The 14,157-nt window shown below is 48.5% G+C and overlaps 1 protein-coding gene across 2 annotated transcripts in view; it reads left to right on the top strand.

The window, feature by feature from the left end:
* The window catches only part of ACER1 (alkaline ceramidase 1), a 54,227-nt gene extending 51,919 nt beyond the window's left edge, over positions 1-2,308 (top strand). For both annotated transcript variants that reach the window (XM_011527673.3, NM_133492.3), the window contains 2 exons: positions 1,160-1,297; positions 1,568-2,308. In XM_011527673.3, the coding sequence (XP_011525975.1) occupies positions 1,160-1,297; positions 1,568-1,736 (307 nt within the window). In that variant the 3' untranslated portion in view covers positions 1,737-2,308. The remainder of the gene's footprint in view (positions 1-1,159; positions 1,298-1,567) is intronic.
* Positions 2,309-14,157: the final 11,849 nt, after the last annotated feature.

The raw sequence follows: 14,157 nt of genomic DNA, 5'->3' as shown, positions 1-14,157 counted from the left end.
TTTTTTTTTTTTTTGAGACGGAGTCTCACTCTTGTCGCCCAGGCTGGAGTGCAATGGTGCGATCCCGGCTCACTGCAATCTCCACCTCCTGGGTTCAAGCGACTCTTGTGCCTTAGCCTCCTGAGTAGCTGAAATTACAGACACACGCCACCACGCCCGGCTAATTTTTGTATTTTTAGTAGAGACAGAGTTTCGCCATGTTGGCCAGGCTGGTCTCGAACTCCTAACCTCAGATGATCTGCCCGCCTCGGCCTCCCAAAGTGCTGGGATTACAGGCTTGAGCCGCCGCGCCCAGCTGACTGAGTTAATATTCGAAGGTGTTTAATTTATTATTGTTACTTGTTTTTATTTATTTATTTATTTATTTAAGATGGAGTCTCACTCTGTCACCCAGGCTGGCGTGCAGTGGCGCAATCCCGGCTCATTGCAACCTCCGCCTCTTGGGTTCAAGTGGCTCAGCCTCCCAAGTAGCTGGGATTACAGGCGGCCACCACCATGGCCGGCTAATTTTTTTTTTGTATTTTTAGTAGAGTCAGAGTTTCACCATGTTGGCCAAGCTGGTCTCAAACTTCTGGCCTGAAGTGATTCACCTGCCTCAGCCTCCCAGACTTCTGGGATTACAGGTGTGAGCCATCACGCCCGGCCTATTATTGTTTTTTAAGACAGGGTCTTACTCTGTCACCCAGGCCGGAGTGCAGCGGCGCAATCACGGCTCACTGCAGCCTTGCACTCCTGGGCTCAAATGATCCTCTTGCCTCAGCCTCCCGAGTAACCGGAACTGCAGGCATGCACCATCATGCCTGGCTAATTTTAACTTTTTTTTTTTTTTTTAGAGATGGGGTCTTGCTATTTTGCCCAGGCTGGTCTTAAACTCCAGGGCTCAAGCGATCCTCCCAACCTCAGCCTCCCAAAGTGCTGGGATTACAGGCATGAGCTACTATGCCTGGCTTGAAGGACATTTGGAACTGCACCTGTTGTGCTGGAAATGCTGTGTTAGTTCTAAGCACGAGATTGGGCCCCCTCTGCTTGCACCCTCAATTCCTGCTCTTTCCCTTCTCCCAACCTCTGAGCCTCATCACTGTGGAAGGAGGAATTTCCCATCAGCCCCATCAGGTGCTGCTCTCCGAGCCAGCCCCTGGTCCCCCTCTCCCCTCTCTAGGACCAGCAATAAGGAGCTTCGGCACCTGATTGAGGTCTCCGTGGTTTTATGGGCTGTTGCTCTGACCAGCTGGATCAGTGACCGTCTGCTTTGCAGCTTCTGGCAGAGGATTCATTTCTTCTATCTGCACAGCATCTGGTAAGCACATGCTCTGAGGCTGTGGGGGGCCCAGAGTCAGAGAATCTTAGATGCCAAAGCTCGGAGTAGGCACCTGGGGGCTGGGGTTGGAGAAGCAGAGAGAGGAGAGCCAGACACTGGGACCTGGCGGTAGGGGAAGGCTGCAGTCACGGGGCCAGACCCAGAAGGCTCCCCTGGATGGATGGTCAAGAGCCATGAGAAGTAAAAAGAGGGCCGGCGTGAGGCTGTGGGTATCTTGTGCCCTCGCCACCTTCGCCCTGCACTCCACAGGCATGTGCTCATCAGCATCACCTTCCCTTATGGCATGGTCACCATGGCCTTGGTGGATGCCAACTATGAGATGCCAGGTGAAACCCTCAAAGTCCGCTACTGGCCTCGGGACAGTTGGCCCGTGGGGCTGCCCTACGTGGAAATCCGGGGTGATGACAAGGACTGCTGAGACCTGCCAGCCTCTTGACTATCCAACCACCCAACAACTTGCCTGTGTCTTGAGAAGATAGCCCCGGTCAGGACTTGCACCTGCGGGACACTCGTGGTTCCTTCCTCTGTTTCCCCTTCCGTGTCCTCCTTGTCCTGCGCTGCCCTGCCTTGAGGCAGATGATGGACTTTGTGACATCTCTGAGCAGCAGCCTGGTGACTGTGGGGGGCTGTCTCGTGCATCTCCCCTCCATGACCCCCCCCATCCTCTTTCATTTCCTCCTCTGTGTCCACAGCCTCCCAGTGACCATTGTCACATGAGCTGGTGGGACTGTGTCACCAGGTACTGGGGTGACTGAAGGATGTGGCATCTAAATATTAGCTTCTAGGCTGGGAACGGTGGCTCACGCCTATAATCCCAGCACTTTGGGAGGCCGAGGTGGGTGGATCACCTGAGGTCAGAAGTTCAAGACTAGCCTGGCCAACATGGCAAAACCCCGCCTCTACTAAAAATACAAAAATTAGCCGGGCGTGGTGGTGCATGCCTGTAATCTCAGCTACTTGGGAGGCTGAGGCAGGAGAATCGCTTGAACCCAGGAGGCAGAGGTTGCAGTGAGCTGAGATCATGCCATTGCACTCCAGCCTGGGCAACAAGAGAGAGACTCCATCTCAAAAAATAATAAATAAATAAATAAATATTAGCTTCTAAATATTGGTGGTCACTACCAGACTCCCTCATCTGTCTCTGGCCATGGCAATGTCCCTGGCTCTTGGGGGACACCCCAGAGAATGAACATGACTTCCAGGCACCTCATTCTACATCCACATGTGCATGTGGAGATGTTACATGCAGACCCACTCATCTCCTCCCACGGACTTGTGAGGTCCTCAGGTTCACAGCTGAGAACAGCAGAGTCCCAGACTGGGCAGTCTGGGTGCTTTGGGGGCATGTGGACATGAGAGAGGAGCGAGGGTAGCCAGGATAGTCTCTAAAGCAGTGGTGGAGTGGTGGGGAAGGTCTGTTTTCATGGTGGTTAAGAGCACGGGGCCTGGAGTCAGGCAGACCTAAGTTAGAATTCCTGCTCCACCATTTTCTAGTTGTACAATCTTGGGGAAGTGATTTTTCCTGCCTCAGAAGCTCAAGGACATTGTCTGTAAAACAGAAATAATATTCCTTGTCTTGTGGGGGTTTTTGTGTGGTTAAAACAAATGAATGTGTGTGAAGTCCTTAGCATAGAGTTTGACAAACATCCAGCCACCCACTCATCCTTTAATTCATCTGCCCCATAATTTATTCATCCATTCATTCATTCATCTACCATTAATTTATTCATTCATCCACCCACCCTTTAATTCATCTACCCATTAATTTATTCCTCTATCCATTCATCATCCACCCATCCTTTGATTCATCCATCCATTAATTTATCCATCTAACCATCCACCTACCCATCCTTTAATTTATCTACCCATTAGTTTATCCATCTACCTATCTTTTAATTCATCCACACATTAATTTCTCCATCCTTCCATCCACCCGTTAATTCACCCATCCAATACTTTATCCATTCATCCAGCCACCACTAATTTATCCATCCATCCATCCATTCATCTATTGAACTCTCCATTGAACTATCATCTATTCATCCTTTAATTTGCCCATCCAGTAATTTATCCAACGATTCCGCCTTTCTTCTATTATCTATCCTTTAATCCACCTATTCATTCATTAATGTATCTATCCATCCATTGAATCATCCATCAAACTATCCATTCATCCATCCATCCATTATCAATTATTCATCATCATCCATCATTTATTATCCTTTCATTCATCCACCTATTAAGCCATTTATCCATTAATTTACCCAATTATTTATCCATCACCTTACCCTACATCCATCCATCCATCCATCCATTCGCCCACATTTAGCCATTCGTTTGTCCATTCATTTATCCATCCAAATCATTCAACCATCCTTTCATTCATCTACTTTTCAACTACTCATTCATTCACCCATTCAACACACATACATATATTGGGCTCCTGCTATATATCAGATGCTAGCCTCTGGGGATCCAAGACAACAAAGACATACAACGTCCTTGCCCTAATGAAGGATATAGATATTAAACAAATAAAAACACACACACACAAAGCACTTCCAGCCATTGATAGGCGCTAAAAAAGATAAAATACAATAATATTCTGGAAGATGATGGTTCTGGGAGCAGCACTATCACATGGGTGGTCCAGGGAGTGCACTTTGCAGTTGAGCCCTTAATGACAAGAGGGAACCAACGATACCAAAAGCCAGGGCAAGTCCATTCTGGACAGAGGGAATGGCTGTGTGAAACCCCTGGGATGGGAATGAGCTTTCAAGCTGGAGCAACAGCAAAGACTTTTGGCCAGGCTCAGTGTCTCATGCCTGTAATCCCAACATTTTGGGAGGCTGAGGTGGGAGGATTGCTTGAGCCCAGGAGTTCAAGACCAGCATGAGCAACACAGCAAAACCTCCTCTCTATGAAAAATTTAAAAAAAATTAGCTGGGTGTGGTGGCATGAGCCTGTAGTCCCAGCTACTTGGGAGGCTGAGGTGGAGGATGGCTTGAGTCCAGAAAGTGGAGGTTGTGCCACTGCATTCCAGCCTAGACACATAGTAAGAGGTTCTTATCTGGGGTCCCTGGATGGGTTTCAGCGTCCACAGACCACTTGACATTGTGTGCAAAAGATGGGTGTTTGGGCATACAATCTAGGTGCCTGGAGTGCATCACTTTAGATAAATGAGAATACTCTCATTTTATAGATGTGGCTCAGAGAGGGCAAGTGACTTGCCTAAGGCCACACATCGTGGACTTGAACCCAGTCCGTCCTTTTCCAAAGCTCTTTGCACTACAGTGAGACAGTAGTGGGACTGAACTTGGATTCCTGGTCATCTGCTTCCGAGTCCTTCTTCCTTTCTTGTTCTAGAAGCCAGAGGTTTTTCACTTGTGGCTCCAGGATGGATCATGGTGGTAGGAAGAGGTGGGGTTGAGGATGTCTGTAAACTTGTAAAATCATCTGCAAAATGTTGTGTGTCTTGGTGTATTTGGGGGAGAGGAGCTGTGATTCCGTGACAGCCCCTGAAGAGGTGTTTGACCACCCAAAGAGTTGAGAACCTCAGTTAAAAATCTTCTTGGGGAGGGTGGCTGAGCACAGTGGCTCACGCCTGTAATCCCAGCACCTTGGGAGGCTGAGGTGGGCAGATCTCGAGGTCAGCAGATGGAGACCATCCTGGCTAACGTGGTGAAACCCCATCTCTACTAAAAATATAAAAAATGAGGCAGGCATGGTGGCCGGCGCCTGTAGTTCCAGCTACTCAGGAGGCTGAGGCAGGGGAATGGCGTGAACCTGGGAGGCAGAGCTTGCAGTGAGCCGAGATCACCCCACTGCACTCCAGCCTGGGCGATACAGCGAGACTGCGTCTCAAAAAAAAAAAAAAATTAGCCAGGCTTGGTGGCACGTGCCTGTAGTCCCAGCTACTCGGGAGGCTGAGGCAGGAAAACTGCTTGAACCCGGGAGACAGAGGTTGCAGTGAGCCAAGATTGCGCCACTGCACTCCAGCCTGGGCAACAGAGCAAGACTCTGTCTCAAAAAAAAAAAAAAAAAGAATCAACAAACAAAATCTTCTGAGGGAGGAGGATAGAGAAGCGCCTGCCTCCTCCCCTGACCCCGTGGCTCTTCCTCTTCTTTGCCAGCTTATGTGGCCCGAGTGCAAAATCATTTAAAAAAAAATCCCGCTCTATCCCCAGTATCTGTCCTCTGGCTCCTGCTGGCCCCTCCTCACAGCCTCCTCTTGGGGCATGAACGTAGCCGATGAGCAAGAGGCCTGGGTAACCTCTGCCTCCCGGTTCAAGCGAGTCTTGTGCCTCAGCCTCCTGAGTAGCTGGGATTACAGGCACGTGCCACCACGCCTGGCTAATTTTTGTATTTTCAGTAGAGACGGGGTTTCACCATATTGGCCAGGGTGGTCTCGAACTCCTGACCTCATGATCTGCCCACCTCGGCCTCCCAATCCAGTCTGTAACTCTTTTTTTTTTTTTTTTTTTGAGACGCAATCTCACTTTGTAGCCCAGGCTGGAGTGCAGTGGCGTGATCTCGGTTCACTGCAAGCTCCACCTCCCGGGTTCACGCTATTCTCCTGCCTCAGCCTCCTATGTAGCTGGGACTACAGGCGCCCGCCACCACGCCCGACTAATTTTTTGTATTTTTAGTAGAGACAGGTTTCACCGTGTTAGCCAGATGGTCTCGATCTACTGACCTAGTGATCCACCTGCCTCGGCCTCCCAAAGTGCTGGGATTACAGGCGTGAGCCACCGTGCCCAGCCTCCAGTCTATAATTCTAACAAGCTACATGACCCTTGCACATCCTAGTCTCCATCAGGGAAGGTCTCTTGGTGACAAAGGACAAAATATTCAACCCCAACTGCCTGAAATCACAAATGGACAATCAGCATATATACTTTTTTTTTTTTTTGAGACAGGATCTCTGTTGCCTAGACTGGAGTGCAGTGGTGCGATCTTGGCTCACTGCAACCTCCACCTCCTGGGTTCAAGCAATTCTCATGCCTCAGCCCCCGAAGCAGCTGGGATGACAGGCACCCACCACCATACCCGGGTAATTTTTGTATTTTTAATAGAGACAGGGTTTTACCATGTTGGCCAGGCTGGTTTTGAACTCCTGACCTCAGGTGATCCGCTTAATCAGGAAGGTCTGTTGGTGAAAAAGGACAAAATATTCAACCCCAACTGACTGAAATCACAAACGGACAATCAGCAATATGTACTTTTGTTTGTTTATTTGAGACAGAGTCTTGCTCTGTCACCCAGGCTGGAGTGCAGTGGCACAATCTCGGCTCACTGCAACCTCTACCTTCTGGGTTCAAACAATTCTTCTGCCTCAGCCTCCTAAGTAGCTGGGACTGCAGGTGCATGCAAGCATGCCAGCTAATTTTTGTATTTTTAGTAGAGGTGGGGTTTAACCATGTTGCCCAGGCTGATCTGGAACTCCTGAGCTCAGGTGATCTGCCCACCTCAGCCTCCCAAAGTGCTGGGATTATAGGCGTGAGCCACTGTGCCTGGCCAGCATATCTACTTTTGAAGTTCAGCCCCAGGCTGCAGACCTGGCTGGGTCCAGGCTTCAAATGATGTCACCAGGGCCAGGCTCTCTTCGTCCCTCTGGCTGGCTTCATGGGTGGGAGCGGCCACCAGGAGGGCTAGGCTGCCTTCTTTCCAAGTTTAAAAGTGAACTCAAAAGCTCCAAGCACAGGCTGGGCTTGGTGGCTCATGCCTGTAATCCCAGTGTTTTGGGAGACCGAGGTGAGAGGATTTTTTGAGACCAGCCTGGGCAACATAGCGAGAACCTGTCTCTACAAACAAATTAAGAATTAGCCAAGCATGGTGGTGTACACCTGTGGTCTTAGCTACTTGGGAGGCTGAGGCAGGAGGATCGCTTCATGAGCCAGGGAGGTTGAGGCTGCAGTGAGCCATGATCACACCACTGCACTCCAGCCTGAGTGACAGAGTGAGACCCTGTCTGAAAAAAAAAAAAAAAAAAGAAAAAGAAAAAAGGGCTGGAGCAGTGGCTCACGCTTGTAATCCTAGCACTTTGAAAGGCCAAGGTGAGTAGATTGCCTGAGATAAGGAGTTCGAGACCAGCCTGGGCAACATAGTGAAACCCCATCTCTACTAAAATACAAAAAATTAGCTGGGCATGGTGTCACACACTTGTGATTCCAGCTACTCGGGAGACTAGGGCAGAAGAATCGCTTGAACCCAATTGGCGGAGGTTGCAGTAAGCTGAGATTGTACCACTGCCCTCCAAACTGGACGACAGAGTGAAACTGTCTCAAAAAAAAAAATGCTGGGTGCAGTGGGCTTATGCCTATAATCCCAGCACTTTGGGAGGACAAAGCGGGCAGACCACCTGAGGTCAAGAGTTCGAGACCAGTCTGGCCAACATGGTGAAACCCTGTCTCCACTAAAAATACAAAAAATTAGCCGGGTGTGGTGGCACACACTTGTAATCCCAGCTATTCAGGAGGCTGAGGCAGGAGAATCACTTGAACCCAGGAGGCAGAGGTTGCAGTGAGCTGAGATCACGCCACTGCATTCCAGCCTGGGTGACAAGAGCAAAACTCTGTCAAAATAATAATAATAATAATAATAATAATAATAATAATAATAATAGCAGCTCCAGGCACACATGAAGATGCTCAATATCATTGTTGTTAGGGAAATGAAAATCACTGGTCAGGCACAGTGGCTCACAACTGTATTCACCACACTTTGGGAGGTCAAGGTTGGCGGATCACCTGAGGTTAGGAGTGCAAAACCAGCCTGGCCAACATGGTGAAACCCCATCTCTACTAAGAATACAAAGTTTAGCCGGGCATGGTGGTGGGCACCTGTAATCCCAGCTACTCGGGAGGCTGAGGCAGGAGAATCGCTTGAACCCAGGAGGCGGAGGTTGCAGTGAGCCGAGATCACACCACTGCACTCCAGACTGGGCGACAGAGCCAGACTCCATCTCAAAAAAATATATACTTATGTATGTGTATTGCAACAGGTGGCTGTGTGTGTACTTTTGTGGCAGGCAGCAAACTGGGAGCTTACAGGAAACAGGTTGGAGGCCAAAAGGAATTCCAAAAAGTACCCAAAAGAGGGCTGGACCGTCTACTAGGCAAAATAAAAAGGGAACACTCAACGTTGTTCCCGGGGTGCAAATAAAGTGAACCACTAGAGGGCGGTAGAGACTTAACGTATTAACAGTAACAGTTCCGTTATGGACCAAAAGCAAGACCAGAACATCCAAAATGTTACTTTCTTTGGAGTTCAAGACCAGCCTGGGCAACATAGGGAGACCCTATCTCTACAAAAAAAAATTTTAAAAATTAGCTGGATGTGGTGGCACATGCCTGTGGTCCCAGCTACTGGGGAGGCTGAGGTGGGAGGATTGCTTGAGCCCGGGAGGTTGAGGCTGCAGTGAGCTATGATTGCGCCATTGCACTCTAGCCTGGGTGACTAGATTTAAAAATCTAGGCTGGGCGTGGTGGCTCACGCCTGTAATCCCAGCACTTTGGGAGGCCGAGGCGGGAGGATCACGAGGTCAGGAGATCAAGACCATTCTGGCTAACATGGTGAAACCCCATCTCTACTAAAAATACAAAAAATTAGCTGGGCGTAGTGGCGGGCGCCTGTAGTTCCAGCTACTCGGGAAGCTGAGGCAAGACAATGGCGTGAACCTGGGAGGTGGAGCTTGCAGTGAGCCGAGATCGCGCCACTGCACTCCAGCCTGGGTGACAGAGCGAGACTCCGTCTCAAAAAAAAAAAAAAATCTAAAAAGTTGAAGGGCTACAAGTACAGTTTGTCACATGCATATATTGCATAATGGTGGTCTTGGCTTTTCGTGTATCCATCACCTGAATAATATACTTTGTATCTGTTATACAATTTTTCATCACTTTCTCTCCTTCCATCCACCCCCCCCGCCCACCCAATGTCTATCATTCTACACTCTACACCCATGTGTACACATTATTTAGATACCACTTATAAGTGAGAATGTATAGCATTTGACTTTCTTTCATCCATCTCCAGAACTTTCTCATCTTCCCAGCATGAAACTGTCCCCATGAAACACTCACTCCCCAGCACCCTCCCCTGCTCCTGGCATCCACCAGCCTATTTTCTGTTTCTATGAATCTGTTGACTTGAGGGACCTCTGTTGACTCCTAGGAGAGGAGTGGAATCACACAGGATTTGTCCTTTTGTGTCTGGCTTATTTCACTTAGCATAATGTCTTCAGGGTTCATAGATACAAGGTCTTGCTCTATTACCCAGCCTGGAGTGCAGTGGTGCCATTGCAGAATTCTTGGGATGGTGTCACTTTTCTGGCTGTAAACCTCTGTGGCTGGTGGCATCTTTGCCTGAGTTTTGCTCAGGCCCACTGGGCTCATTCTGCCCACTTGACCTGGCAGGCTACACTCGGCTCTTGCTACCAGCCTGGATCCCACACCTGCCAAGGGTGTGCCAGGTGTGGAGTGGCAAGGGGTGTGTGTTCAAGCAAGCATGGGGTCTAGCCCCTGTGCACAGTCAGACACACCGGCTGCTGCAGCAGGGTGAGCAGCTCCAGGTGCCGGCATGGGCACTGGCTCTCTGCAAGGCTGCGGCTTGGCCAGGTGCACCACAAGTAGCGTCCATGGCTGCCACCAGGGACCATGGTGGAGCCCAGAAGCTTGGAGACTCCAAGCTTCATGCTGGGCCTCAAAGAGGGAGTCACTGCCCTGGCTCAGGGAGCTCCCAGGTCTAGGCTTTCTGAAGGGCTGGAGCTCTTCTCTCCTTCTCATTACCATCAACACGGCAAGCAAGGGGCGTGTTTCAGCCCTGTTTGTGTTATAGCTCTTCCAGTCCTGCCATTCGGCAGGTCCCAAGCTCTTGTCCTGCGCCCAAGAAGAATGAGGTACACGGACAAGTGGAGGGTGAGCAAGGTGAAGAGGAGCTTTATTGAGCAACAGAATAGCTCAGAAAAAAAAAAAAAAAGGCCCTGGAGTGGGTAGATCCTCTCTGTAGCTAGTCGTCATGTCAAGTGCTCAGCTCTCAGCAGAGAGGAGGCCCTGGAGTGGGTTGCTTCTCTTTGCAGCTGGTCATCCCTATATCTGTCTAGCTATGGCTGAGCCCAGGGCTTTGATGGGCCTCAGAGGGGAGGAAGTCCATGCTGATTGGTCCATGGGCAGCCTGGAAAAGGCACCACAAGTTCCCACTCTGGTCTGTGGGACTGGCAGCCTGGCCCCCAGGCTTCAGGGCCTCCCTGGCTTGAAGGTGGGACCTCACCGGGGATCCACCCCCTTCCACCCAGGAACCTGTCTGCCTCCTGCTGCTGTTCGTGGTGATGAGGCTATAGATGCCAAGGGGCACCTGCAGGTCAGCACCAAGCTGCCCTCAACCCCTCCCTCAGCTTCCTTCCTATGCTCATCAGCACCCAAGGTCCAGAGGGGGCTGAGGCAGCAGGGGACTGGAGTGTCACCACTGCCCCAAGCATGTGCACACCCAGCTGGGCTGTGACAGTGCCTGGGCTTGGCCCCAACTTTGCTCTGAGACTGGAATGGGTGCCAACAGCAGGGAGAAGCCAGGCAGTGGGAGCAGGCATTTCCAAGCCTGCGAGGGCAGGGAAACCTTCCTGGGACCCCAAGAGTGCAGGGATGCCTGGGTACACAGCCTCTGTTTGGGTGGCTGCAGCTGCATTGGGGGTGTGTGCGACTCCTGTTTACTCTGTGGAGTGGGAGGCCCGGCTCTGCAGCTGTGGTTTGGGCAGCTGCAGCTGCACCTGGAGAGATCTCATCCCAACTCAGGAGGGGCGGGACTCCTGCTTGGCCCTGCCACAGCCATCAAACTCCCCTCTGAAGAGGTACGTCTAACTGCTGTTAGGGTAGGGATGATGACTATTCTTTTTTTTTTTTTTTCGGAGTTTCACTCTTGTTGCCCAGGCTGAAGTGCAGTGGTGCAATCTTGGCTCACTGCAATCTCTGCCTCCCGGGTTCAAGCAACTCTCCCACCTCAGCTACCCAAGTAGCTGGGACTACAGGCGCGTGACACCACACCCGGTTAATTTTTGTATTTTTAGTAGAGACGGGGAATCACCATGTTGGCCAAGCTGGTCTTGAATTCCTGACCTCGTGATCCACCTGCCTCGGCCTCCCAAAGTGCTGGGATTACAGGCGTGAGCCACCGAGCCTGGCTGGATGATGGTCATTCTTAACTGCTTCATGCTGACAGGGGGCATTGTTTTCAGAAAAATGGCAGTCAGATTTTCCCTCGGGGGCCTATCTAAGGGCTCCCAGTAAAAGGGAGTCATCGTCTGAGGCTCCATTTGCATCACCATTTGGAGTTTGACAGTCTGTCCCTTTAGTTTCTTCTGAGCTGCAGTCAGAGATCACTGATTGGTTCACTCCTACAAATGTCAAAAGCTACAATAGCTGGAAAGAAAAGCTTCCTTGATTCTGAAAAACAAAACAAGGGATCAGCAATGTTCCAAGCAAAAAATCAAGAATGATTACTTTGGTCTTCCATTAGTTCAATTCACCCAGTCAACTCCTGTTCACAATCTCCAAAGTTATCAGAAACCTGCACTTGAGGTCTATAATCCACCCTTTGAAGAAGATCAAAACAAGACAACAGCCGGGCGTGGTGGCTCACGCCTGTAATCCCAGCACTTTGGGAGGCTAAGGTGGGCGGATCATGAGGTCAGGAGATTGAGACCATCCTGGCTAACACGGTGAAACCCCGTCTCTACTAAAAATACAAAAAATTAGCCAGGCATGGTGGCGGACGCCTGTAGTCCCACCTACTCGGGAGAGGGAGGCAGGAGAATGGCGTGAACCCGGGAGGCGGAGCTTGCAGTGAGCCAAGATCACGCCACTGCACTCCAGCCTGGGCAACAGAGCGAGACTCCATCTCAAAAACAAACAAACATAAAAAACAAGACAACAATTGCCTATGAATGTCAAAATGTCCTAGGGTAGTCACAGTCAAAATCATGATTGACAAAGAAATTTGGTAACCACTGTGGTCTACAATAACCTAACATAATAACCCTAATTATGATTCATAACACTTTCTCAGACGTCAGAACTTTAGAAATCCCATACAATTTTGGAATACACATTAACATTATTCACTGAAATGCAACCCACCGGAGACCAAACACCACCTTATTTTGGCAATCCTATGTAGCTAAACATGTCAAATCATCCTGTCTACTTCTTCCCTGGACACTCCAGGGATCCTCTGTAGCATCCAAAAGCTAGGGGTTAGAAAAGACAATTTTGAAGTTGAAATGTGATTTCGGGAAGCCTATCAAACATACTAAAGGCTTATAACATTTATTATGAAACCGCAGATCAGTGCCCTAAGAATAGCAGATCGTGCTTCCATTCCAATGTTCAACTTACAGGAAAACCAAATAATACCCTTTTGAATTTAGTCAATATGGACTGAGCATGGTAGCTCATGCTTGTAATCCCAGCACTTTGGGGAGTTGAGGTGGGCAGATCACTTGAGGTCAGGAGTTCGAGACCAGCCTGGACAACATGGCAAAACCTCATCTCTACTAAAAATACAAAAGTTAGCCAGGAGTGGTGGCATGCACCTGTAATCTCAGCTACTAGGGAGGCTGAGGCAGAAGAATCGCTTGAACCTGGGAGGTGGAGGTTGCAGTGAGCCAAGATTGTGCCACTGCACTCCAGCCTGGGTGACATAGTGATCTCAAAAAAAAAAAAAAAAAAAAAAAGAATTTAGTCAATATATTCACACACACAATTCCTTTTATAAGATTAATTTTTACAAACCTTCTATAACTTGTTTAAACCCTTAGCTTTATCTTATCTAATTTAAAACAATCCTTTAAATTTCTAAATTTGGCAAAAATTTACATTCCCATGCCTTCTTATATTCTTTAACTAAAGACACAGTTTACTTTCCTTATATACTTTGCATGTAAGTCTATTTTCAGGAGTCTCAATTACATGTTATAATGGTAACTCTTAGCAATTCTTATTTTTGGTAAAAAGAAAACCTAGTTAAAAAAAAAAAAGAAAACCTAGTAAGTTATTTTAATTATGTCCTAGGTGCAGATAAGATCTGAATATTTCCAGCATATCTAGGGGTGTGATTAGCTCCCTATGTCCCTAGTCCTTACCAAACCATAAAGCAGGCAAGTCAAACAGTTTTCAAAAGCCAAAGAAGCAGTTTATGACTTTAAAGCATTTAGCAAACCTAATATCTGAGCTGCATAATTTGGACCACATGTCTACATTTTGAAGTCATTTTTATTTTACCAATAATCTTTAAGACTATTTTTATTTCTCTAAGATTAAGTCATGAGAACTAAAAGGCATTGCAGTTTCTATTTTTCTTCAAGAATATTTGACCTAAGTGCTTATTTTTCCTTAAGCTAATCAGTTAGAGTTCTTTTATATAAACATCACACATACAACACATATATAACTATATGACAGACAGGAGATCCACTAGTAGTTGTAAGATTTTTCTTTTTTCCTTTTTCTTTTTTTTTTTTTTTAGACAGAGTCTCACTCTGTTGTCCAAGCTGGAATGTAGAGTCTCACTCTGTTGTCCAAGTGGCATGATCTTGGCTCGCTGCAACCTTTACCTCCTGAGTTCAAGCGATTTTCCTGCCTCTGCCTCCCAAGTAGCTGGGATTACAGGCGCCCGCCAACTCACCTGGCTAGTTTTTGTATTTTTAGTAGAGATGGGGTTTTGCTATGCTGCCAGGCTGGTCTCGAACTCCTGGCCTCAGGTGAATCTCCCACCTTGGCCTCCCAAAGTGCTTGGATTACAGGTGTGAGCCACCGTGCCCAGCCTCTTGTGCCAATTTCTTAATTGGATTA

The sequence above is a fragment of the Homo sapiens genome, chromosome 19 (assembly GCF_000001405.40).
Source record: "Homo sapiens chromosome 19, GRCh38.p14 Primary Assembly".
Lineage (NCBI taxonomy): Eukaryota > Metazoa > Chordata > Mammalia > Primates > Hominidae > Homo > Homo sapiens.
The sequence above is the reverse complement of the archived record's forward strand: the minus strand, read 5'-3'. Positions and strand labels throughout refer to the sequence as shown.